At 51.5% G+C, this 27,013-nt stretch overlaps 1 long non-coding RNA gene across 1 annotated transcript, besides 1 other annotated feature; it reads right to left on the bottom strand.

Annotated features, from left to right (window-relative positions):
- Positions 1 to 502: an enhancer, noted in NCBI's record as "H3K4me1 hESC enhancer chr3:184463957-184464458 (GRCh37/hg19 assembly coordinates)". NCBI's record gives its function as "activates a minimal SCP1, AML or CMV promoter by ChIP-STARR-seq in primed H9 embryonic stem cells {active_cell/tissue: H9 hESC(primed)}" and the evidence as "EXISTENCE:reporter gene assay evidence [ECO:0000049][PMID:30033119]".
- LINC02069 (long intergenic non-protein coding RNA 2069) lies at positions 10,221 to 26,987 on the bottom strand. The gene is made up of 3 exons (NR_110043.1): positions 26,812 to 26,987; positions 19,152 to 19,301; positions 10,221 to 12,485 (listed from the first exon to the last, which is right to left on the bottom strand). It is a non-coding gene; the product is annotated as a long intergenic non-protein coding RNA 2069 (long non-coding RNA).
- Between the last annotated feature and the right edge of the window lie 26 nt (positions 26,988 to 27,013).

Here is a 27,013-nt window from a genome sequence, read left to right on the forward strand (position 1 = left end):
GCGGGGCCTGTAAAGCACTCAGCCCACTCCCCACCCCGAGCACCCAGGGAGAATATTTTTAGCTGTCTTTGTAATACCCACGCAAATTGTTCTCCTCCTTGTCCACTTCAACCCAGTCTCTTATTTTCTAGTTCCCACCCCTTCTTCACGCCACCTCCCCATTCCACCCCCCAGGCCAGGAGTCTGGAATGCTATGGTGTTCCAGGCCCCTGAGTCAGGTGCAGCTGCAGGGACCAAGGTAGGTTTTGGCACCTGGGGAGAGGGGCAATTCTTGATGGCTGAGACTAATGGGATTTCCAAGACAGTCATGAAGCAGAGATAGAACCAGTGCCCAAGTCTAGGTAGGACAAGCCAGGAAGGATGTACTGGAGAGCGCCTGGGGCCAAGAGGGAGCCCGTATCTGGGGCAGAACAGAGCCATGGACACTGAACGGATGAGCAGGCAGTGCCTTGTGCGCAGCTCTTCTGGCCACAGGCAGGGCATGCGTCTAGGGCATAAGGGCCAGGCCAGGGGAGAATGTCCTCAGCTGTATGACTCCCTGGCTCCACACTCTGGCCTTGATGCAACTTCAGATTCTCCTACTCCAGTAATGCACTGGAACCTGCTTTGTCGATTTGCTGAACTCGATGCACACACCTACTCTCAACTCAGTAGGTTCTTCCCTCCCTTCAAAGGGCCTGTGATCATGGTAAGAGACATTCCTGCCACCTACCTTAGCCCATTGGTGCCCCACTAGGGGGACCACCTCACCCGGCCTCCCTGCTTGGCTGGGGCAGGGGCTGCTGGACACTTAACTCGGCATCAGGCACCATGCCCATTGAGACCTGAGCTCAGACAAACAGAAGGAGGCCAGCCTCCAAAGGATGGAAACCACTTATCTGCACAGAGCCAACATTTCCATTAATTTAGTACACTGAGACCTTTTTTCAGTGAAGTATTTAAAAAGAAGATGAGGCCGGGTGCGGTGGTTCATGCCTGTAATCCCAGCCCTTTGGGAAGCTGAGGCGGTTGGATCACCTGAGGTCAGGAGTTCAAGATCAGCCTGGCCAACATGGTGAAACCCCGTCTCTACTAAAAATATAAAAATTAGCTGGGCGTGGCTGTGCATGCTTATAATCCCAGCTACTCTAGAGGCTGAGGCAGGAGAATTGCTTGAACCTGGGAGGCGGAGGTTGCAGTGAGGGGAGATTGCGCCACTACACTCCAGCCTAGGTGGCAGAGTGACACTTGGTCTCAAAAAAAAGAGAAAGTGAATAGAATCTGTTTTTTGGCTGTGTACGTTAAGGAGGCACACAAGCAAACTCCTAAGGTTTGTCTGATTGAATATTTCACTTTACAGTGTATCTTCAGGTCACACCAATCCAGTCTCTGGCAGACCACTGGTGTTACAAGGCCATAGGCCTTATTTTAAATTATTATTATTTTCTATTATTAAGCAAATTCTTATTTAATAATAGAAGCAAATAAGTGGTCTGATTCTTTCAGGCCTAGGCTTGTGAGCCTGTGTTAATTTGCATGGTTGAGTTATTCATGCTGTATTACAATCTAGTCTATCAATTTCTTTTTTTTTTTTTTCAAGACAAAGTTTTGCTCTTGTCGCCCAGGCTGGAGTGCAATGGCACGATCTCGGCTCACTGTAACTCTGCCTCCCAGGTTCAAGTGATTCTTCTGCCTCAGCCTCCCGAGTAGCTGGGACTATAGGCACGTGCCACCACTCCCGGCTAATTTTGTATTTTTAGTAGAGATGGGGTTTCACCATGTTGGCCAGGTTGGTCTCAAACTTCTGACCTCAGGTGATCCACCCGCCTCAGCCTCTCAAAGTGCTGGGATTACAGGCTTGAGCCACCATGGCTGATCTAGTCTATCAATTTCCTACACATTTTCCCCTCCAGATTGTCATTAATACAGAGTAAATTAAAACTCTAAACCCGGGGGTGGGGAAAGGGGGTTAGAATGGGATTTGAGAACTGAAGGATGATCTCTCTACATCTTGCCCCAGTGTCCTGGACCCCAAGAATAGAAGAAAGCAGACATTGCCGCTCACCACTCACTGTTCTCAACTCTAGAAGGAGAGGAAAATGGGAAGATAGCACAGATAAACACACCAACTCCACCCAAATGACTCAAGTGAAGGCGCGTCTCAGAGTCTTGTGTTTTTCTGAAACTCAAGGCCTGCACAAGGAGGAGAGCTGTCCAGCTGCCTGTGCTCGAATGGGAACTTCATAAATCTCCAGAAAGCCCCTGACCCCTTCTCTTTTCACTCTGGCTCTATTTCCTTCTTTGCTGAGGTCCCCATTTGTCAAAGCAGAAGGGAATTACATCAGTCAGTTTTGAATCAGTCAAAACAGAAGTAAGTGGACAGCCTTCTTTGGAAAGGAAGAAACAGTGGTGGGATTTTTTTTCTAACCACCCTCGACTTATTAGGCAGCACAAAGCATGCTAGAGAAGGGTAGCCAGGAGTGTAAAGTACATGAAGCGGCAGCAATATGAACACTGGATGGAAAAGGGGCTGGGTAGGAAAGCAAGGGCTGGGACTCAGCCTCATGGTTCTCCCTCTCCCCCTGCAGGTGAGAAGAGACAAGTTGAGAGTCAGAAACAGCAGCTTAGGGATGCGCAGGTGTGAATATGTGTGGCTGCTGGGGTGCACATGCACACACTGATGCAAGTAGTAAGTACTGTGTGAGCAAAATTGGCTTCAACAGAAAGGAGTCCAGGGTAAGAAAGAAAAGGTGGATGAAGTAGAACCAGAAAATACGCTGGGGCCAGGAGCAGTGGCTCATGCCTGTAGTCCCAGCACTTTGGCAGGCTGAGGCGGGAGGACAGCTTGAGCCCAGGAGTTTAAGACCAGCCTGGGCAACAAAATGAGATCCCTATCTCTACAAAAAATAAAAAAATTAGCTGGACATGGTAGCATGTGCCTGTGTTCCCTGCTATTTGGGAGGCTGAGGCAGGAGGATTGCTTGAATCCAGGAGATTGAGGCTGCAGTGAGCTGTGTGATCATGCCACTACACTCCAGCCTGGGCAACACAGAGAGACCCTGTCTCAAAAAAAAAAAAAAGAAAAGAAAAAGAAAAAGGAAAGAAAGAGAGAGAGAGAGAGAGAAAGGAATAAAGAAAAAGGAAGAGAGAAAGAAAGAAAAAATAAGGAGAGGGAGAGAAAGAAAGAAGAAGGAGGGCAGAAAGGAAAAAGAAGGAAAGAGAAAGAAGGAAAGAAAGAAGGAAAGAAAAGAAAGAAAGAAGAAAGGAAGAAAAGAAAAAGAGAAAGAAGGAAAAAGAAAAAGAAAGAAAAAAGACAGAAAGAAAAAGATATTCTGGGCAGTAATAATGATAATGATAACAATAACCATTAAGGAAAATAATTGATGAACATATGCTGCATCCATTCATTCTATATATACAGCATGTTCTAGATGCTGAGGAAATGGCAGGAAATAAAGTGTCTGCCTTCGTGGAGCTTATGTTCAGGTGTAATATATGTCAGGCATGTTACACACATTATTGCATTTATGGACCATATGAAGTGATTTCTATTATCCCCATCCTTAAAATGGTGAAACCGAGGCACAAAGAATATTCAATAACTTGGTTGAGTCTCACAGACACAACCGAGTAGCGGAGCCAAGATTTGACCCAAGTCTGCCGGACCCCAGAGCCCTTGCCTCTGACCCCTCTAGCGGGACACATCACCCCTCGCTGGCAGGAGCACACGGATGGTGCCTGTTCGGGCGTTCAAAGGGACAGACACTCTACCAAGACCACAGAGGTGTCCTAGAGCAGGGGGCATGTCGCAGAGGACCAAGACGTCCCACTTTCTCTGTGATTCGAGCATGTGGGCCAACTCCTGTAACAGAGGGGTTCTGCATCTCTCTCATCTTTCTCTCATTCTTCTCTCTGTATTTTTTTCATGTCCTGAGCTAAAGCCCCACTTGTCCTGCCTTAGTTATTAGAACTTGTTAGAAAGACCATTCTCCCTCCTGGAACCTCCGTCTATCCGTCTGTTAAAAAGCAGGATTGGATTAGTTGGTGTCTGAAATCTCTTCTGGCTCTAGAATTCTGTTATTATGGGGAAAATTCCATTTTGGTATTTCCTCCCCTCCCCTGACCAGGTGCCTCTTCTGGAGAGAATCCTCAGCTCAGCGGATGTTCCGAAAGAGGTGAATGCCCAGGGGAGCCTTTCCCACACTGGTTCTAAGGATTCCCTTGCAAGGATCCTCTGATTTTCTATGGGACCTTTCCTTTTGGGAAACAAGAGTCCTTGAGAGCCTGCAGCTCCAGAGAGAAGCAAGCCTGGGCTTGGCCTCTGGATGCAGAGGAGGGGCTGAAGTTGGGGGAGAGGCTGCTGCCGGTCAGGATGGAGCTAGTCCAGGCGCTTGCCTGTCCTCTTGGACGTACAGAGCTGGGGCAGTCCCAGAATAGTTCTAGAAAAAATGAGCCTGGGAGAAGTGGAAGGCAGTTGGGGCCAATCGGAGGCCCCAAAGTCAGCACCCAGGAAAGCAGGTACAGTTCAGGCTGCATGGAGGGTGGGTGGGGGGCACTCTGGGAGGATCCAGCGAAAACATCTGAGAGAGAAGGGACATGTTACCAAATGGTAACGTGCTACTCATCAAGGTGAGACGGGTCCCAGCTTTTCACCTTAACCCTGGCTCGCTTTGCATTGCCTCGTGGCCCTTCTGGCTGGTCAACCGTGCTAATGTGAGCTTTGTCAACTGGGAAGGTGACGCGGCCTCGTGTGATCCAGGCCGGCCCCGTGGCTAAATGCAGCCAGGGTCCCTGATAAGCTTAGGCAACTTATTAAGTTACACAGGAAAAGTCGAGATGGAATATTAATTCTGCACACCTCTTCTCTCTGCCCGGGGAACCTGCCTTCCTGGGTTTTGGTTTTCAAAGGCTGAAATAGATATGGAGATTTCGCACTTAATTAAAGGAGAAGTGTGCTCAATTCAAGTCTTTTCAAAACCATTTTGGTTCTGAGCTCAGTGGAGCCAGTGGAGACCCAGTCACCATCTGGCATGAAAGGTGTTAACTCGGAGTCTCCGGTCAACTCTAGACATCAGATCCAGAAACAAAGAGAATTAATTTCGGAGGCCCCCTCAGATGCCCCTCCTCTCCAGCCTGTAAGTTGAGAGCCTCTGTATTGACTTGCTAGGTATTAAAAAATTAGGTCTGAGAGGTCACCTGCGATGCAGAAGACCAGGTGCCAGAGCTCACCCAACAGGCCAGGATTATCTTATCAGCTAGGCTGATAAAACTCATGAAAGTCTGGCCATAAGGAACAAATATTTATAAGCCCAGCACTTTTCGGTCCACAGCAGATTAGGCACAAAGTGTGAGCAAGAGCAGAGGGGGGCTGCTTCCTGATCTGAAACTCCCGGGGTTCGTCCTGTCTCATTAAGGAGAATGCATGTTTGAAAGCTGAACTGTTTAGGGGACACTCTCTCCTCTATCACATGACTGCATGCCAGCCTGGTGAGGAGGAAACTATCTTTACCTCCATTTTACAGTTGAGGACACTGAGGTTCAGGGAGGTCAAGTGACTTGCCCATTCGCTCAGCTAGGAAGTGGAAGTTGAACACAAGTATTCTGACTCCAGGCCTGTGTGCTTTCCACAGGCCGGTGGTGGCCTGGACTGGATCTCACTTGACTGTCCTGTAAGTCAGCAGCTCCCCAGAAGGCCCCTTCATTGCCCTAGTCCCAGGGTCACAGGTCCAGCTCCCTTGGCAGAGGAGGCAGGACAGTATCTCATGAAGAGATAAAAAGAGTGACCCTCTCAGCTGGGCGTGGTGGCTCATGCCTATAATCCCAGCACTTTGGGAGTCCAAGGCGGGTGGATCACTTGAGGTCAGGAGTTCGAGACCAGCCTGGCCAACATTGGTGAAACCCTGTCTCTACTAAAAATACAAAAATCAGCCAGGTGTGGTGGTGAGCGCCTGCAGTCCCAGCTACCCTGGAGGCTGAGGCACGAGAATGGCTTGAGCCCGGGAGGCGGAGGTTGCAGTGAGTCAAGATCATGCCATTGCACTCCAGCCTGGGAGACAGAGCGAGACACCGTCTAAAAAAAACAAAAGAGTGACCTCTCCAGGGATGGTTGAGGGAAGCTGTAAGATAGCCCTGCCCCCAATGACAGGCAAACCTGGAGTCTATTCCTGGAGTTTGCAGTTGATTCCTTTGGGCCTCCAATTCTTTCCTCTGTATTTATTCTCCCTGGGAGAGGAGATTAAATGCAAATGTATTTGGATGAATGGCCTGTGGTGCCTAGGAGGCCTACTGATTGGCTTCCCTCTTGTGCTAATTGTGGAGAGGGGTTGGGTGGAAGCTGGAGGAAACCCCCTCCCTCGGGGGCCTGGGTTTTCTCCTCTGCCAAAGGAGAGGTTGACCTAGATGATCTCAGGGGTCCTTCCTGCTCTGACCTCTCAGGCACAATCTCCTGGGACTGGGACCCCCGTAGGCCCTTCTCTTTGAATCCTCAGCAACGGGAACGGAAGTGTTGTGGAGGAAGCAGCTTCTACGCTAAGAGGAGAGGCAGTGAGTAGCTGGGTCAGGAAGCAGCCCAGGTGGGGGCCTGGAGGTGAGTGCAAACATGAATATGCCAACCTTGTTGGAAGGCTGGGCTGCAAGAAGATAAGAGATGAGGCTTGAGAGATAAGCAGAAGCCAGATCCCAAAATGCCTTCTAAGGCTGTGTCAAGGAGCTTGGGCTTTATCCTGAACACAATAGGGAGCCAGAAAGGAGTAAAGGCTAGGAAGTGGCATGATAATGTTTGTGTTTTAGAATGTTTCCTCTGGTGCAAGTGTGGAGACTAGATGGGGAGGGGGGTGGGAGAAGGAGAAGGTGGTGAGAGAAGAAGGTGGTGGGAGAAGAAGGTGATGGGAGAAGAAGGTGTTGGGAGAAGGTGGTGGGAGAAGAAGGTGTTGGGAGAAGGTGGTAGGAGAAGAAGGTGATGGGAGAAGGTGGTGGGAGAAGAAGGTGTTGGGAGAAGGTGGTAGGAGAAGAAGGTGATGGGAGAAGGTGATGGGAGAAGAAGGTGGTGGGAGAAGAAGGTGGTGGGAGAAGAAGGTGGTGGGAGAAGAAGGTGGTGGGAGAAGGTGGTGGGAGAAGGTGGTGGGAGAAGAAGGTGGTGGGAGAAGAAGGTGTTGGGAGAAGGTGGTAGGAGAAGGTGGTGGCAGAAGGTGGTGGCAGAAGGTGGTGGGAGAAGAAAGTGATGGGAGAAGGTGGTGGGAGAAGAAGGTGATGGGAGAAGGTGGTGGGAGAAGGTGGTGGGAGAAGGTGGTGGGAGAAGAAGGTGATGGGAGAAGGTGGTGGGAGAAGAAGGTGTTGGGAGAAGGTGGTGGGAGAAGGTGGTGGGAGAAGGTGGTGGGAGAAGGTGGTGGGAGAAGGTGGTGGGAGAAGAAGGTGATGGGAGAAGGAGGTGGTGGGAGAAGAAGGTGTTGGGAGAAGGTGGTGGGAGAAGAAGGTGTTGGGAGAAGGTGGTAGGAGAAGAAGGTGATGGGAGAAGGTGATGGGAGAAGAAGGTGTGGTGGGAGAAGAAGGTGGTGGGAGAAGAAGGTGGTGGGAGAAGAAGGTGGTGGGAGAAGGTGGTGGGAGAAGAAGGTGATGGGAGAAGGTGGTGGGAGAAGAAGGTGTTGGGAGAAGGTGGTGGGAGAAGGTGGTGGGAGAAGGTGGTGGGAGAAGGTGGTGGGAGAAGAAAGTGATGGGAGAAGGTGGTGGGAGAAGAAGGTGATGGGAGAAGGTGGTGGGAGAAGAAGGTGTTGGGAGAAGGTGGTGGGAGAAGGTGGTGGGAGAAGGTGGTGGGAGAAGGTGGTGGGAGAAGGTGGTGGGAGAAGAAGGTGATGGGAGAAGGTGGTGGGAGAAGAAGGTGTTGGGAGAAGGTGGTGGGAGAAGGTGGTGGGAGAAGGTGGTGGGAGAAGGTGGTGGGAGAAGAAAGTGATGGGAGAAGGTGGTGGGAGAAGAAGGTGTTGGGAGAAGGTGGTGGGAGAAGGTGGTGGGAGAAGGTGGTGGGAGAAGGTGGTGGGAGAAGAAGGTGATGGGAGAAGAAGATGGTGGGAGAAGAAGGTGGTGGGAGAAGGTGGTAGGAGAAGAAGGTGGTGGGAGAAGGTGGTGGGAGAAGGTGATGGGAGAAGGTGGTGGAAGAAGAAGGTGGTGGGAGAAGGAGGTGGTGGGAGAAGAAGGTGTTGGGAGAAGGTGGTGGGAGAAGGTGGTGGGAGAAGGTGGTGGGAGAAGGTGGTGGGAGAAGAAGGTGATGGGAGAAGAAGATGGTGGGAGAAGAAGGTGGTGGGAGAAGGTGGTAGGAGAAGAAGGTGGTGGGAGAAGGTGGTGGGAGAAGGTGATGGGAGAAGGTGGTGGGAGAAGAAGGTGTTGGGAGAAGGTGGTGGGAGAAGGTGGTGGGAGAAGAAGGTGGTGGGAGAAGAAGATGGTGGGAGAAGAAGGTGGTGGGAGAAGGTGGTAGGAGAAGAAGGTGGTGGGAGAAGAAGATGGTGGGAGAAGAAGGTGGTGGGAGAAGGTGGTAGGAGAAGAAGGTGGTGGGAGAAGGTGGTAGGAGAAGAAGGTGGTGGGAGAAGAAGGTGGTGGGAGAAGAAGATGGTGGGAGAAGAAGGTGGTGGGAGAAGAAGGTGGTGGGAGAAGAAGGTGGTGGGAGAAGGTGGTGGGAGAAGAAGGTGGTGGGAGAAGGTGGTAGGAGAAGAAGGTGGTGGGAGAAGAAGATGGTGGGAGAAGAAGGTGGTGGGAGAAAGTGGTGGTGGGAGAAGAAGGTATTGGGAGAAGAAGGTGGTGGGAGAAGGAGGTGGTGGGAGAAGAAGGAGAACCCTATGAGGAGGCCGGGCGCAGTGGCTCACACCTGTAATCCCAGCACTCTGGGAGGCCGAGGCAGGTGGATCACCTGAGGTCAGGAGTTCAAGACCAGCCTGGCCAACATGGTGAAACCCTGTCTCTACTAAAAATAAAATAAAAAATTAGCCAGGCATGATGTCGAGAGCCTGTAATCCCAGCTACTCAGGAGACTGAAGTGGGAGAATCGCTTAAACCCAGGAGGCGGAGGTTGCAGTGAGCTGAGATCACACCATTGCACTCCAGGCTGGGCGACAGAGCGAGACTCTGTCTCAAAAAAAAATAACAAAAACAAAAACCAAAAAACCCTATGAGGTAGAAACTCTTATTTTACAGATGAGAAAACTAGGCTCAGAGAGGCCAGGCATCTTGCCCTGGGTCACACAGCTGGCGAGTGGTAGCACCAGGACAGGTGTGGCTCATTCCAAAGCCCCTGGCTGTGACCACGGGCTGCCCTGCCTCCTGAGATGGCCATCAGCACACACAGTCAGCCTACACTCTCCAGTGGCAGGAGGCGTTCTGTTGGTCAGCTTCCTGCAGCAGAGGGGCGTGACAGCAGTCACAGAACACGTGCCATGTGCTGCGGATCTCCTCAAAACAAGCTGCAGGTTGCATCTGGAGAAGCGTGAAGGCTTTGGGAGTGTTTGGGCTCCCAGGGCTGGCTCATCCTTGCCTGACATGGGAGGAATAGAGCTGGGTCTGGGGCGGGCTCTGGAGCTCATGACCTGCCCCATCCTGCTCTCATGTGGAGGAAGCCTTGGACTTTCATGAGCCATTTCCTAATCCAAGAGAAGCCCAGAAGTCACACTTTCCAGAGGCTGGAAAATCTACTAGTAGCTCCTTCACACTTCGCCTTTTCCTAAAGGGGAAGCAGGGCCCTGTGTGTGGGCCAGGAAGGGCTGGAGGGCATCCCAAAGTGGTTAGAGTCAGGGCAGTGCTCCCTGAAGGCTGGGCTGGAGGAGAAGGGAAGAGTCTCATCTCTGATCCCCCAAAGTCGCTGGAGATGCTCAAATGAAGTGGTAAAATTCACCTGCTTCTAGCCAGTAGTAAGAAGCAGGAAGGTTACTTTGCTGAGAGCCAAAGTGTACGCTTCTGATCTGGCACAGCCATAGGCAGCTGGGTAACCTTGGAAAAGTTCCTCCCCCACTTCCTGCACTTCAGTTTCCCCATGGGAAGAGGTGAGCCTTAATCCCCCCTTTCAGGCTGGCAGGCTTCATGGCCCTGGTCAGCCACCGGGGCCCATCCTCTGTCTTAGAGCCACTCTGGAGTGGGGCTGGTAGGTGGAGCAGCTCAGGGCCAGCACCCTGCCCCACCCCACCCTCCACCTCCAGCCTTATAAGAACACCAGCTCATCTGGCTTTGCTCTGTCAGTTGGAAGAAAGGGCTGGCTTACACCTGCAGCAGGGCACACTGATTAATTTATTTTGCATCACTTTGCATTACCTGGCTCCAGGGCCTCCAGCTTGACATGCAGATTTATGTAAAAGAGACCTGACATGCAAATGAGCCAGGCCTGTGTCTTGTTTCCGTCACAGAGAGGGCTGCATCACTGGTTCCTGGCCCAGCTGCTCTTCCCCAGGCCCACGGGTTCTCACAGCTGGTGAGGTGGAACCATGGGGCCGTTCTCCCTGTGCTGCCCCTGCTCGGAGCCCAGGCCAGGACAAACGTGCACTTGACAGTGAGGCTAGAAAAAAGGAGGTTAGAAATGCACCCTCCCCAACGAAAGTGCCTGGCTGTGGTACTTGACACAGAGATGAATAGAGAGAGAGAGAGAAACACACACAAGACAGAGAGAGAGGCAGAGTGAAGGGAAGGAGAACAGGATCCAGAGGGGGCTGGGAGTTCGGTGTGTCCCTAGAATATGCACAGAGGAGCGGGTCAGGGTGATGGACGAGCTCAGAGTCAAAGAGAATGAGAAGCCAAGGAAACAGAGGCCAGGAGGCAAGGAGATGCGGAAAGAGAGATGGGGACACGATGAGGGGGCTGCTGAGGGAGCGGGTGAGACCCAGAAAGAAACAGATTTCAGAGTTGCTGCGGAGGAATGAGTGAGGATATAGCAACAGCCTGCCTGTGGGGGGAAGTGAGGGAGGAGTTGGTGATGATGACAGCTTGACGCTTGGGAGTGGGAACCAGGAGCCACAGGCGGAAATGACGGGAGAGGAGTGCAGGGAGACACCCGAGCTGCCCTCTTGGAAGAACTAGCAGTGGCTTGGCTGCCGTCAGCGCCGCCGCCTACCTCCTAAACCCTTGATTTATATCCGTCTATCTATATTTATACACACATATCTACAGACATACGCACATGTATATAAACTACACAGGCACGCATTGGCCAGGAGAAAACATTCTGCAGCCATCAGGCTCTAGAAAGAGAGCTTAGGGGGTTATCCAGGACTGCAGTGTGTCTGTTCTAGAACAGCAAAGACTGGACTTTGCCTCTGCAGGCCCAGAGGAGAGTGCACACCCTGCCCCCTGTCTGGCTCAGCAGCCAATGCCCCTCGGTGCTAGGATGCTCCTTCCACACCTATCTGAGCCAGGGTCACCACTCTTCCTCTTACGAGACCGAGAGAACCAGCTAGTCCCCTGCATATGCACAATGTGAGCGGGAGAGCAAGCAAACAAGCAAACCAAAAGAGAAAGCAGAAAGCCCTTCTCGCTCCCCAGCCTCCTTTGTAGGGAAATTGACTTTCTGGGAGGAGGGAGCCCAGGGCAGGTCCTGGGTGGGTGGTCCTGAAGTGCAGTGGGGAGAGGGCTGGGAAATTTCTGTGGCTTTTGGATAATCTCTACTTTTCCCACCCCCCAAACAGGAGCCCAGGGAGTGGGAGGGACACATTTCTTTTTTTTTTTTTTTGAGATGGAGTCTAGCTCTTGTCGCCCAGGCTGGAGTACAGTGGCACAATCTCGGCTTACTGCAACCTCTGCCTCTCGGGTTCAAGCAATTCTTCTGCCTCAGCCTCCTGAGTAGCTGGGATTACAGGCATGAACCACCACGCCCGGCTAATTTTTTGTGTTTTTAGTAGAGATGGGGTTTCACCATGTTGGCCAGGCTTGATCTCGAACACTTGACCCCAGGTGATCCACCTGCCTCGGCCTCCCAAAGCGCTGGGATTACAGGCATGAGCCACCACGCTCGGCCAGGAGGGACATTTCTTAAAACCTAGGATGGTGGCACTGAAGGGGCCCTCAGAAACCCTGCAGGCCAGCTCCATCCTCCCCCAGGAGGGAACTGCGGCGCAGAGAGGCTAGTGTGGAGGTGGGCTGAGGGCCTTTCACTACGCAGCTCTGCTTCCTTGGCGTTAATGACCTCCCCGCCCTGTCTCTGATCCCCTGAGCTGCCCACATCAGCGCTGGGCACACTCATAGCTCCTTGGAGACTGGCCACTGTTTTCCCTCGGAGACAGATGACCTTCATACACATTGTGAAAGGTATAGGCCCAGACCCTTCTGTGCACATTTCACTGACACTGGAAGACCCGGGGCCCACCGTGGGTCACCTTTGCCGTCTCACTTGTGAATACCTGCCAGTGTCCCAGTAGATGAAGCCGACAGACAGCTCAGGCCCAGTGAAGGTGTGTCCCATGGGCCACGGGATCTCGCCTGGCAGAGATCTGCTTTAAGATGCCATCTCCAGGAGCCAAGGTCATCTCCAGAATCTCTCCCCACATCTAGAAATGAGATGTGTCTCATGTGACTGCCTGAGCCTGACCCGGTCTACTTGTTTCAGCCAGAAGTCATCTGGTGCCACTCTGGCCCACTTGTGGCGTGACCTTTGGGTCACTCTGGCCAGCCTCAAGGGTCACCTTTGTGTTAACCTCCAGCATAGTGGTTTTTAGCTTCTTGAGGTGAGAGACCCTTTGAGAACATGAATGAAGCCCCGTAATGCTGCCCAGATCCACAATACTTTGCACACAATGTCAGGAGATTCAGGGACTCCCAGAAGCCCTCGGTCTAGGACAGACCCAAGAGTCCATCTGGCATCTTTAGGCCTTGGGAAGCTGGTGTCCATGCGTGGAGGCCCCAGGACCCCACTCATTTCAGAGGCAAATCATAGCCCTGACAAGGTGGCATTCCAGGACACGTTCCACAGAAGGTCTTCTTTCCCCTTTTCTGCCTCAGAGATTCCTTTCTAAGCAACTGTTCCTCCCATGTTGAAGTCAGATCTCAGCTTCCTCCATCCCCTAGCTACATTTCAGGGCAAGTTCAAATGACATGCCATACAAAACTCATTTGTAGGCTGGGCGTGGTGGCTCACGCCTGTAATCCCAGCACTTTGAGAGGCCAAGGCAGGCAGATCACCTGAGGTCAAGAGTTCGAGACTAGCATGGCCAACATGATGAAACCCTGTCTCTACTAAAAATATAAAAATTAGCCGGGTGTGGTGGCATGCACCTGTAATCCCAGCAACTTGGGAGGCTGAGGCATGAGAATCACTTGAACGTGGGAGGTGGAGGTTACTGTGAGCCAAAACTGCGCTACTGCACTCCACCCTGGGTGAGAAGAGTGAAACTCCGTCTCAAAAAAAAAAAGCCTCATTTCTAGTTTCCCTTGGACACCCTCTCTGTGCCCCTCCCCAAACTCCCTTCCCACTTAGTCCCCTGAACCTGACTCCACTTTGCTCTGTCTCCTGCCAGGCTCAGCTGAGCACCAGGTCCTGAGCTGGCACCCACAGAAGAGCAGAGCAGATGACACTGAGAGCTGGTGAGTCCTGTCCCCTCAGCAGCCAGCACAGACGGCGGATGGCCCCATGCTCAGAAAAGGACCTCGGAGGGCACGAGTGGTGGAAGGAGCAGAGAAGCCTGGAGAGGGGCTGGGGCAAGGGGACAGTAGCCAGGCAGGGGATCCTCTCTGCGGATCCCAGACCCTGTTCCCCGCCTGCCTGCTTCCCAGGAGCTGTTGATGGAGGAAGTCGTGCACTCCAGGCTCTGGGCCTGGTTCGAGATGCTGAGAGGCCTCTGTGAAAGGGAAGACATGGGAGGGCGGGAATCTCTCGGTGGGGCAGGGCAGGGAGGGGGCATGGGAAGTTCCATGTGGAAGGCCCGGGACTCAGGGTGGGCCAGGGCTCAAAAGAGCGAAAGCAGCCCCCTCGGCAGAGAGGGGTCTAGCCAGCCCAGGGGGTGGCCCGGACATCCAAACTGCCTTGGATGGAGAAAGCTGTTTAATCTCCCTATGGAAATCAGGAAGTTGGAACCCACACAGCTGATGGCAAGGCCAGAGGAGCGATTTCAGAGGAAAGATTAAAAGAATTAAAGTCAACTCAGAAGGGAGCAGACGAGAGGGAGCTAGGGGCAGGTGGGGAGCTCAGGGGTTGTCTGCAAGGCCCCTGCACCCTGAACCCAACTGAGGGTGCTTCTAGGGGCAGGGGGTGGGGAGTCCTGCTGAGGTGCAGTCCGTGGGTAAGGGTTGACCCTGTCATCCATGGGGGATTCTGTTGGGGTGAGAGGGAATACCACAGGGGGCTGAAGATCTTGAGAGAGGTCTGAGAGGAGATAGAGAGAGGCCAGGAACACAGTCTAAGCCCAGATTTCAAGTCCAGGCAGGTCCACTCTTGGAGGCGGGGTGTGGGGAGCAGCTCTGTGCCATGGAGCCTGGTCCTCTCAACTATCCCTCTCCTCCAGGCCTGGAAACTCCAGCCCCAAACCTTCTGGCTAAGCAGGAAACGAGGGCAAGACATGCGTATGGTGGGTGGGTTTTCCTTAGCAGAATGTGTCACTGAGGCCACCTTGGGGCTGAGGGGCAGAAACAGGGGCTATTGTCCCAGAAGACCCCATGTTGAGGGACAAGGACAGCCTTCCGGGCAATGGCCTTGTATTGCTCCAGGTCCAGACCAGAGAGCCAGGGCCAGAGGGTAGCTGGGGCTCAGGCAGGGATTCTGGTGGCTCCTCTGCTCTGCTGTGTGCTCTAGCCACACACATGTGTGCACACACACGCACACACATGCACACACATGCATGCACACACAGGCACACACATGCACACACACAGAGGCACACACATGCACACACACCGCTCAACCATGCTTGCCTGCTCTCATATTCTCTCTCTCGCTCTCTCACACACACACTTAAACATACATTTAAATAACTTGCAGACGTATATTAGCAAAAACATTCCATCTGGGCTGGGATTTGTCTCATTGCTTTGAATTCCTCTGGGTCTTAACTTGAAAAAAAATAGGAAGAGGCAAAGATTTGACTAATGTTGGGTTAAGTTTTTTTTCTTTCTCCTTTCTTTCTTGGTTACTGACTGCCAAGAATTTATATTTGTAAAAGGAAAAGAATTAACTGTGTTGATTAAGAGGCAAACTCCCTGGAAATGTTCTCTCTTAACCCTTTGGTAACCTCTCAGCAAGAGATAGGAGGGTTCTCTGGCATGGGGCTTGACATCCCTGGGCTGGAGGCCCAGAACCTTCTGGAGGTCTGCTTCTCTCCCAAGGGAGCTTATAGAGCAGAGGCAAGCTGGGCCCTCTGGCGTGCGTGCAAGTGTGTCTCTAAGCAGATGCGTGGGTAAGTGGTGTGAGTGTCTGTGTGTGAGCGTGGGTACTGTGAGCTGGCGTGTGGGAGGGGGTGTGCGCATGTGTGCACGTGAGTGTGGTAACTGCCCACATGTCCCCTGGCAAATATGGGGTGTGCCAGAACTCTCCTGGGCTGCTGGCTGCAAGGTCAAACTCCAGGGAGGGGAGATAACCTTCACCTTGACCTAATTAGCGGAAACTGATTTGGCAGGAGGAGGGGACGTGTGGAGGCTTAGCACAGAACAGGTGAGCAGGCGCTGGGGTGGGGAGGCCTCAGCCAAGGAAGCAGGATCTCTCCTGACACCCAGCAGCTGTCGCCACGAGTATGCAGTGACCCAATACAGGGATCACCCTGGACGCTGGTCAGTGTCCCTGCATGGAGGGGTGGGGACTTCTCCTCTTTCTTGCCCACTCTCAGCTCCCCATCCCGTTTTCCTTCCACAGCTTCTCTGTCCCTCCGGAAGAGCCTGGGCTGCATAGCCCCCAAGGTAGGATAGGTTTTAGCATCAGAGAGGCTGAAGCCTCTAGAAAAGGGGTCTTCTGGAGCTGGGGCTGAGGGATGTGAGCAGGGAAAGGGTGTTGGGGACAGAAACAGAAGAAAAGAGGATCTTGCTGGAGGCTCCAAGCTCCCTGTGCATGCGTCCAACCTTACGGAACTACCTTTAATCCCCTGAGCCCCAGGCCCGGCCTGACTCCTCCCAGACTATTTCCCTCCACCTGGAAGGACTTTCTGTCCCTCCTTTGTTAGCCAATTCCTACTTGTCCTCCAAGTCTTAGATGCCACCTTGTCCAGGAAGTCATCCTTACCCCTCACACTTAGCTGTCTCCCTCTTGCATGACCACACCTGGGCATAGAGGCACTGTCCACACGGTGTGACCCTTATATCCTCTGTCTGTCTTTCCTACCGGATCCTGCACTCCTTGAGGGTGGAAGCACTGTCTTCTTCATCCTGAACTCCTGGTACCTAGTAGAGTGCCTGGCACACAGCAGGGGCCCAGTCAACACTGGCTGAGTTGAACTGAAGGCCTTTGACTGCTGAAAGGAGCCTTGTTAGTTGCACCATATGCTGTCATCGAAAGTGCCGTGCAGACACGCCCCCCACTAGAACACTGACCGTAGACTCTGAGATTATCTAAACATACATATATTTGATCCTCTCAAATTTTTTTTTTTTTTTGAGACGGAGTCTCTCTCTGTCACCCAGGCTGAAGTGCAGTGGTATGATCTTGGCTCACAGCAACCTCCACCTCCCGGGTTCAAGTAATTCTCCCTGCCTCAACCTTCCAAGTAGCTGGGACTATAGGCGCCTGCCATTACACCCGGGTAATTTTCATATTTTTTTGGTAGAGACAGGATTTCGCCACGTTGGCCAGGCTGGTCTCGAACTCCTGACCTTAGGATGATCCTCTCAATTTTCTGTGAGCTCCTCAGGGAAAAGATTCAGTCTTAGTCTTCCCCAGGGCCTAGCAGAGCATCAGACAAATAGCAAATGCCTAATAAATGTTGAATGAATGAAAGAAGAGCCAACACATGATAAATATCTAAGAACATACACACAGTGTGTATGTATGTTTCCACCTCTTACTGAGGCTGTAAGATGCTGTTAAGGGCTGGAGGAGAGAGAAGAAACTGCTATCAGAGCAAGGTTGAGAGGAGGGAAGAGTAACATTTGTTGAGCACCTATTATGTGCCATCACTGCCTCAGGCGTCATCCTCATCTTCATCCATGAGGAAGAGATACTTACCTCATGTTACAAGTAAGGAAATTGAGACTAAGAGAGGTAAAGTAATTGCCCAAGGTCACCCAGCTGGTGGGACAAGTTAGGCTTGGATTCAAACCCAGGTCTGTCTGATCCCAGAGTTTATGCTTCTCCCACTATGGCCACCACTACCATGTTTCATGAAGGACATAGGTACTGAGCAGAGTTTTGAATGATGAGAGGGACATGACTTTGTAAAGGAGGATCTCAAACCCAGGCAAGAGGAGAGGACCGAGAGTTCCCAAGAAGGATGAATGCTGGCTCTCTGCTTCTGTGTGACCAGGAAGCACCAACATGACAAGGAAAAAAGGCAACTGTGGAGGAAGGCAATACAGCAGAAAGCAGTCACAGAGGCCTCTCAAAAACAGACCTTAAGGCCAGGTGTGGTGGCTCATGCCTGTAATCCCAGCGCTTTGGGAGGCCAAGGCAGGTGGATCATGAGGTCAAGAGATCAAGACCATCCTGGACAACATGGTGAAACTCTGTCTCTACTGAAATACAAAAAAATTAGCTGGGCGTGGTGATGCGTGCCTGTAGTCCCAGCTACTCAGGAGGCTGAGGCAGGGGAATCGCTTGAACCCAGGAGGTGGAGGTTGCAGTGAGTCGAGATCACGTCACTGCACTCCAGCCTGGTGACAAAGCGAGACTCCATCTCAAACAAAAACAAAAACAAAAACAAAAACAAAAAACAGACCTTCAGCTCAATCTTGGCAGAAGGAGCCAGTACAGAAATAGTGCTTATTTAGTGGCAAGCACTGTGCTAAACACTTTGTTAATACATTTAACTCTTAAAACAAGGCTATGAGATGGGCCCTATTAGCCACAAATACAGATGGGGAAGTGAAGGCCCAGAAGGGTTAATAACCTGCCCAAGAGCACACATGGCTGGCTATTAGTAAACCTGGGGTTTGAACCCAGACAGTCTAGTTCCGGAGTCTATGGCCACTACACCAAGGAGGGAAAGTGTGGCTAAGGATGGCCTTCAACTGGTAGAAGTCAACATCAGTCAGCCTGGTGGGCTTGAGTTTGGGGGTGTGATCAGAGTCTGGTTGGAGGGACTGTCCCAGACCAGCTCCGTGCCTCTGTCTAGAAAGTCCAGAGGCATTCAGGAAGAGTGCAACAGCCAAGCTGTGGGCTGCCGGAAGATCGTGATCCCCACACATTGTCCTGGTCTTGTGATTTGCTTTTTGGGGGAAGAAGGAACTTTGTACCAGAATACTAAGAGATACTTTAAACCTATGTTCAAGAGAATTCTCCCTACTTTGGAACTTTGGGTCTGGCTTCCTGGGATTCCCCCAACATCTCCCCTAACCACTCCAGAGCAGCCTCCAGTCGCCACCACCACCACCACCCTCAAGCCAGAAGTCATTTTTTTTTTTTTTTGAGACGGAGTCTCACTCTGTTGCCCAGGCTGGATTGCAATGGCGCGATCTTGGCTCACTGCAACCTCTGCCTCTCGGGTTCAAGGAATTCTCCTGCTTCAGCTTGCCGAGTAGCTGGGATCATAGGTGCCTGCCACCACGCCTGGCTAATTTTTTGTATTTTTAGTAGAGACAGGGTTTCACCATGTTGGCCAGGCTGGTCTCGAACCCCTGACCTCAGGTGATCTACCTGCCTTGGCCTCCCAAAGTTCTGGAATTACAGGTGTGAGCCACCGCGCCTGACCCAGAAATCATCTTAAAACATTCCCTCAACAACCCTTTACCTTGATACAACACCTCATAGTCACCAAAGCATTCTTACATCCTCAGCCCATGGGTTCCTCCTCCCCACATCAGCCCTGGAAGGCAGGCAGCTCAGAGATTATTAAACCATTTTACAGATGAGGAAAATGAGACAAGCTTAGTGATGTTTGCAAGCCACATGGTTGGTGAGTCACGTTGGCTGCACTGTTAGATTTCAAGGCAGTGAGACCAGAAGGTAGCCTCGTATGGGGAGGGGTGGGATCTGGGTTGAGGCAGCCAAGGATTTGCATGAATTGGATGAGAGATCCCAGCTCCTCTGTGTCCAGAAAGTTTCACCTTGAGTCACCTGCCTTTCCCTCCCCGGGACACCGCACCTTCCCAACAGAGCAGTGTTGAGTCAGCTCCCCTTTTTCTGCCTCTCCGAGGTACTCTCAGCCATGCCCTCCTTCTGGCTTTCGTAGGATCTGACTCAAGATCCACTTTAGGCAGGCAGTATCTGTGGAACCTTCTCGTGTAGGGCCCACCTGTAAACAAGAGGAGGTGTTTGGAAATTATTCATGAAAGAAGAACACCATGAACAGCATTTGACCTCTTCAGAGAAAAGAGATATGCAAGTTTATAGCGGTAGTGGCGATAGTAATATCCAATGACATAACAACTTCAACAATTACACTTGCATTTCTTCCAAAGAGCTTTAAGCATTTTCGAGTTTATTGGGCTATTTGATCTCATAAAAGTCCCACAAATGGGTAGTGCTGGTTATTATTATCATTTTATAGATGAGAAAACTGAGGCCCGGAAATATGTCAGTGATTGCCCAAGACCTCGCAGCGAGGGAGGAGGGAGGTAGGGCTGAGTCTGTTTCTTCACGTCTCCAGGTGTTTCGTGTGTGGGACTCCCTCTTGGTGTCTGAATTCCTGTGAAGTAAGGTGTGGACAGAGGAGGTGGCTGGTGGCAGGCTCAGAGGATTTTTCTGCACATGGTCACTGAGAGACAGTGAGTCAGGCACCCTTATTTTGAGTTCGGTTTCCTCTTTCACTTCCCCAAACAATTTCTGGAGATGGAGTTCACTTGGCACCCGTTCTCAGATGATGAGCTGGGGGTATGTGCACAGCTGCCCCTGAAGGTTTTCGTGGTAGTGGTGATCTGGAAGGGGTGGATGCTCACATTCTTATCCTGAGACTCCTCCTGTTCTCCTGGTCTACCAATCCCCTCTCCAGGAGGGGGGTCCTTGCTAGCTCTGTCTGTTACCACGGCCTCCTCACTGTTTTTCTGACCTCAGTATCTTTCCTTTTTTTTTTTTTTTTTTTTTTTTTTTGAGATGGAGTCTTGCTCTGTCTCCCAGGATGGAGTGCAGCACCGTGATCTCGGCTCACTAGAACTTCTGCCTCCTGGGTTCAAGCGATTCTCCTAGCTCAGCCTCCCGAATAGCTGGGACTACAGGTGTGTGCCACCACTCTCAGTTACCTTTTCTATTTTTAGTAGAGACAAGGTTTTGTCATGTTGGCCAGGCTGGTCTCGAACTCCTCACCTCATATGATCCACCCACCTTGGCCTCCCAAAGTGCTGGGATTACAGGCATGAGGCACCGCGTCTGGCCTGACCTCAGTATCTTTTTCATTCAATCATCTCCATGACTGACCTTCCAAAAGCTCTCCCTCCACCTCTCAGAAATTGTCAGTAGAATCTCATTACTTCTGGCCTCAGCTTGGCACTCAAGGCCCCACCCAGTCAAGTCACAAACTACCTTCCCACCCTTGGCTCCTCCCTCTCATCCTCCTCTTGAAGCTTTATCTTCAGTTAGACTGGAGGATTTGCCTAGACATGCTTTGTGTTTTCCCAACTCCACAGTTCCCTTGGCTTGGAAAGCCACTCCCACCCCTCTGCCTGCTGGATTTCTATGCAGCCTTCAAAGCCCATGACAAATGTCACCTCTCTCATGAAGCCCTCCTTGATTCCATCATTGGAAAATGAGCTTCTCCCTCCTGGGATGTCTCACAGCACCTGGCATACAGGTCTCCACACAAGCAGTTCTCTGTGTGTTGTGGCAGTGGTGTCAAGATTTGGATGTTTGTGAAACTACAAAGACTGCAGGATTCGGCAATACCACTTGTGGGCATGTGTGTGCGTGTGTGTGTCTGTACGTGTGTGTGTGTGTGCGTGTGTGTGTGTTGGTATGAGGAGTGAGCACAGCTACATAAACAATTGTATGTCAGAAAGGGATGAGACACTTACTAGGTTTAGAGTGTGTCAATCACTTCAGTTCTGCCAATGAACAGAGAGCCAGATGTCTCTCTCCAAGGATAGAGAACACTCACAATAAAGACTATAAACACACTTGGGGGAAGAAAGAATGGAGAGAGGGAGGAAATGAACAAGTATGTATGGCTCATTTACTATAGTCCAGGCGCTGCGTTGGAGAGGAAATTTCATGTGAGCAGTGTGCTCACTTAACCCTCACCGTAGCCGAGAGGTAGGAATCTGCCCCTGTTTTGTGGTTGAGTACTGCTTTGGGCCAGGTTCTCAAAACGCAGGCTCTGGGTGTGCGGGGTAACTGGGAGCACTCATGGGCTGTCGGCATGCAGGGTAACTGGGAGCACTCACGGAGCAGCCCCGCTGGGGAGTCATGAAGGCAGGCTGGCACAGGAAAGGCTGAACGGCAGCGAGGCTGGTGTGCTGAAGCTTGGGTGGCCCTTTTAAGATGTGCCCCCATTGAGGCGATGGGATCCTTGTGCCCTCTGGGAGGGGGAAACCCAGGCAAGACGGCTCCCTTCAGCCAAGGGTGGTTCCTGGGGGGGACAGCACCCACTACACGTACACTGTGGATTAGAGAAACGCGTGCCCCCGCCACATGCAGACTGTCAGCAAGTGGAAGGGGCAGGGATGGAACTCCCTTCCACTAAGGGGGCTTCACCAGATTCTCCTGTTTCAAGGAGAAATAGAGTTTGGAAACCTCTCATTTTATAAACGAGGACACTGAGGCACAAAGCAGGGTGGTTGGTGCCTTGCCTAAAGTCATACAGATTTCATGTAACAAATTGTGCTGGTTAGGTAGGGGAGGATGCAGAGCTCACAGCACAGGTGAATACCTCCATCGCAAAGGCTGAACCAAATGCCCCGTTAAATCAGGAGACCTGCCTCTTTCAGCTTTGTTTTCTGAAGAAATCCCTTCCCAGGGGTTGAAGCCCTCAGGCTGTGTCCCGAGGCCTGGTGTGGCCTTCAGTCCATCTCCAGAAGACAGCATAGGCCAGGCGCGGTGTTTCACGCCTGTAAGCCCAACACTTTGGGAGGCTGAGGAGGATCACCTGAGATCAGGAGTTCGAGACCAGCCTGGCCAACATGGTGAATCCCCGTCTGTGCTAAAAATACAAAAATTAGCTGGGCGTGTTGGCGGGTGCCTGTAATCCCAGCTATTTGGGAGGCTGAGGCAGGAGAATCGCTTGAACTCGGGAAGCGTGGGTTACAGTGAGCTAAGATCACACCACTGCACTCCAGCCTGGGCGACAAGAGCAAAACTCCATCTCAAAAAAAAAAGAAGAAGAAGAAGAAGTCAGCCTGGTCACTCTTTGCCCATTGTGCACTGTCAGCTATGAGCGGAAGTCTGCACCTAGAAAGCTCCCAGGAAAAGAATGCTCTTCCCTCTTTCTGAAAGATTTCAGGTAGTTCTGGTATCAAATAATAGCAATGAGAAAGGCAGGTGTGGACTCTTTTGTTACTGATATTTTCTGTTACTGTCTGATTCTTAGTCACATTTTGCTTTTATTTTTATTTTTTTGAGAAGGAGTCTCGCTCTATTGCCCAGGCTGGAGTGCAGTGGTGTTATCTTGGCTCACGGCAACCTCCACCTCCCGGGTTCAAGTGATTCTCCTGCCTCAGCCTCTTGAGTAGCTGGGACTACAGGCACCTGCCATCACATCCAGCTGATTTTTGTATTTTTAGTAGAGACGGGGTTTCACCATGTTGGCCAGGCTGGTCTCGAACTTCTGACCTCAAATGATCTGCCCATCTTGGCCTCCCAGAGTGCTGGGATTACAGGCATAAGCCACCGCGTCCGGCTCTTACTTGTACTTTGGAAACATTGGTAGTGGGATCCAAGTGTGATCTTTAAAATAGTTAACAATCAGGTAAACCCCCAGGACACCGGCGTGGATGCTGGCAGTATGCTGCACCAGCGCATGCCCACTGAACATTACACCTGCTGGGCCCTAGAGGACAAGGTTGTGGTTCTCCCTGAGTGCCGCATGCTGGGGAAGAACCCTGGGAAGGGATTTCTTCAGAAAACAAAGCTGAGAGAGGCAGATCTCTTGATTTAACGGGGCATTTGGTTCAGCCTTTGCGATGGAGGTATTCATCTGTGCTGTGAGCTCTGCATCCTCCCATACCTAGCCAGCACAATTTGTTACATGAAATCTGTATGACTTTAGGCAAGGCACCAACTACCCTGCTTTGTGCCTCAGTGTCCTCGTTTATAAAATGAGAGGTTTCCAAACTCTATTTCTCCTTGAAACAGGAGAATCTGGTGAAGCCCCCTTAGTGGAAGGGAGGCAAGTGGGCCGGGCGCAGGGCCCCCTCCCCTGCTTTAGCTGGAGCGGCTCTCTTGTATTTGTTTATGCCTCCATACGGTTTCACTTAAACCCAGCATTCCTCAACTAAAAACAAAGCTTGGGAAGCGCCGAGCTGCATGTGGTATCTGAGGGCCCCTACTCACGGCTCTGCCATGCTGAGCTGTGATTAGGCGAATGCGTGAGTGAACGAATGAATGAATGAACAGACTCTGTGTTCCTAGCTAACAGAGGCTGGTTCCTGGTCACACCTGTTCTTGGGACAGATGGCCAGCAGTCTTGGGTAGTTCAGAAATCTACACAGGGCTAGACTGGACGCTCTCCCGACATCCCATCAAGTGTAGGGTTCTGTCTGTCTCCGCTGTCGCCACTGACAAGGCCTCCTCCCTTTGGGCATCTCGGATGCCACCAGGTATGAAGTGGAAAGTCATCAGCGGCGAGTCGCCCTGTGTTTGTCTTCTTCGGCTCTCCCGATGTGTTGACTCAGCTGAAAAAAGATACTGACAACAGCACCCCGAGTCACCGGCAGGCTTGGCAGAAGATTCACTGGGTTTTCTCGGTGTGTGTCCCGGGGTGTGGCACCAGGTCTGGCTCACGTCAGTTTTCTTCCATCACAGGGAAAGGGCTTCCAGTTTTGGCCTTGTCCTCCCTCCCACCACCCCTACTTCCTCCCTTCCTTGCCTCCTTCCTTTCCTTCCTCTAAGGCAGTGGTTCTCAACCTTGGCTGCACGTTGAAATTGCCCAGGGAGACTTAAAAATTACTGATGCCCAAAGATTCTGATTTCATGGTTCGAGGTATGGCCTAGGAAATAGAGTTTTTTTAAAGTTCCCTAGGTGATTCTAATACGCAGCCAAGGTGGGGAACCACTGGTCTGAGGACACGGAGTAGGGATCCTAATTTTAGCCTCAACCGTTTCCTAGTCTGCTGGGTTTGGAAAAGTGTGGGGCACAAATGTCTACTGGCAGTGGATGGAAGGAAAGGGAAGTAGAGAGAAACATACCTCACCCCCCATCCCACCTCACTACCCTGCGAGACTCAGGGAGGTCAGTCCTCTAGGGTGTCCAGTTGACAGCATATGACAGAGTGGAGAGGACACCCCAGGACACAGGGAGGCTCCTGTGTGCTGAGGGCATGAGGCCAACAGCCCTGTTCTGGAGCCTCAGGCACTGCAGTTTTGGGGTCTTCAAAAGGCAACGCCCTGGGTATGGGTGGCAGCGTTCCCACAGGGCAGGCCAGCAAACGAGGTGACCCTGGAGTGACTGTGGCAGCACGACATCAGCGCAGAGCCGCGTGGGGAGAGGGACTCTCGCTGACAGTCCTGTTCACGAACACACGCGGGGCACTCCCAAGAGGTCCTCCAAGTCAGAGTAAGCCTACAGCAGACAGAAACAAGCACAGTGAATTCTGGTCATTTCACCGATGGGAGCCCATCTGGACCTATGGATGGTGAGGTCTGGGGTCACAGATACAAGCCACAGTCATGAAACAGTCTGGTGGTGGCAGCGGTGCAGTAAGGTCCAGCAGACGTTTGCCAGCCTCCTCCGATGTTGCCTCCTCGTTGGGTCAGCCGCCCTGAACAGTTTTCATTCCATATGTTCACCAGGCAGTCAGGGTCTTCTTGACGCTAGGCTTTTCTGCATGCATGTTCTCAATGTGGAGTATTTGCTTTACTTCCTGTGCAAGTTTTCTCCCTTTTTGAAAAAATCACATTCTCTCCTAAATTAGAAAACCTCTTTAATTGTTAGCAGGAGCTGGGGTTCTGTTCCTTGCATGGACAATATCATTAAACATCGGAAAATAAACAAACTGGAAAAGCTTAAGACATTTTCAAACTCTTTGCTTCCCAGAGGGCGTCTGGGGCCCCGGGTGGGACAAGGTTCTGCTGGCCTGGGTTTATACTGTGTTGATAACTTGACCCCTCCAGCTGTGAGAAGCCACACTGACAGCAGGGTTGTTTTTCCTAAACTTCCCAGGACTGCAAACTTGTCTTGGGAGGCATAGGCACTGATTTGCACGGAGGTCTCCAGCGACTGCGCTGAGCTTCCTCCGGGGCGGAGCGCACGCTGGGAGGGGGCCGGTGGCTGTGGTGGCTGACGGCTGCTGTAAACCATCGCTGTCCTCCAGCATGACTACACAGGGCTGGGGAGGACAGGGGAGCTGTGGGAGGGGGCGGTGTGTGAGAACGTTTCTTTCTATCTTGCTGAAATGTGAGTCTAATGAAATGATGATGAGGTTGTGGCCTTTAAGCTCCATTGAGCTTCTTACGCATTGTAATTTTACCCAGAGTGGGTCCAGTTTTTGAAATGATTAAAACTATCGATTCCTAGGCCTGTTCAGCTTGAATCAGAATTCATTAGAGGCCCAGAGGTGAGGGATGTACATTTCTCCCTTGCTGAGCCAGGAAACAGACCCCATCTTGTGTGACTCTCCGGCTGGCGTGGCTGCCCCTGGTGGTGCTGGCAGACGGACCAGTAATAGGATCTGTCATCCGCAGAATAAGTCATGAAGGTCCCATCCATGAGTCCTAGCCCATTTTCTAGGGATTCTCCCTCATGTTTGAAGAGGGAGGTTCTCTATGTTTAATCTTGGCTCTATTTTCTTACAGGTATTATAAGTAAAATATCTTCTTCATGAAAAGAAACACAGAAATGTTCCAAAGTTTTGACTCAAAAGAATACTGGAAGGAGAAACTGTAGCTGGGAGGGGTGGCTGACAATGTGGCCTGAACTTGGCCTCCAGAACGCCACTTCTGTGTGGAAACAAAGAGGGGACTTTCCCTCTGATATTTGCTACCACTCTGCTGACTCCCAGGAGCACAAGATCGCTCCTTTAAAGCTCTATTCCAAGTCCTAGAGCTGAGATAGGTTAGCATCTTAAAAAGTAGCCTTCCTAGCCGGGCGCGGTGGCTCACGCCTGTAATCCCAGCACTTTGTGGGGCTGAGGCGGGCAGACCACTTGAAGTCAGAAGTTCAAGACCAGCCTGGCCAACATGGTGAAACCCCGTCTCTACTAAAAATACAAAAATTAGCTGGGTGTGGTGGTGCACACCTGTAATCTCAGCTACTTGGGAGGCTGAGGCAGGAGAATTGCTTGAACCCAGGAGGCAGAGGTTGCAGTGAGCCGAGATGGTGCCATTGCACTCCAGCCTGGGTGACAGAGTGAGACTTTGTCTCAAAAAAAAAAAAAAAAGAAAGAAAGAAAGAGAAAAGAAACATAACTATAGGGCAGTTAAGTCTATACACCTTAACTTTAAGAAGAAAGAAAGAAAAGAAAGGAAGGAAGGAAGGGAAAGAAAGAAAGAAGAGAAGAGAAGAGAAAAGAAGGAAGGAGGGAGGGGGAGAGAGAGAGAAAGGAAGGAAGGAAGGAAAAGAAAAGAAAAAGAAAGAAAGAAAGAGAGAGAAAGGAAGAAAGAAAGGAAGGAAGGAAAGAAAGAAAGAAACTCTGGGAGGGTAGGGCCTTGCTTAAGGTCACCTGATTCCCCGAGCTGGCGCCAGGGCTGCGGTGCACTGTGTTAGCTCTGAGAGGGGTGTCCCTGCCCACGCCAGCTCTGAATCTTGCAAGCCACTGCACCTTTTGAGAGTTGCTCCCGAACTGCCTCCTACACAGGTGGTTCCCAAGCGGTTCATATCAAGGTCCCTTTTATTATCACCCCCCCCTCCACCGCACCCCCAGC

The sequence above is a fragment of the Homo sapiens genome, chromosome 3 (genome assembly GCF_000001405.40).
Source record: "Homo sapiens chromosome 3, GRCh38.p14 Primary Assembly".
Taxonomy (NCBI): domain Eukaryota; kingdom Metazoa; phylum Chordata; class Mammalia; order Primates; family Hominidae; genus Homo; species Homo sapiens.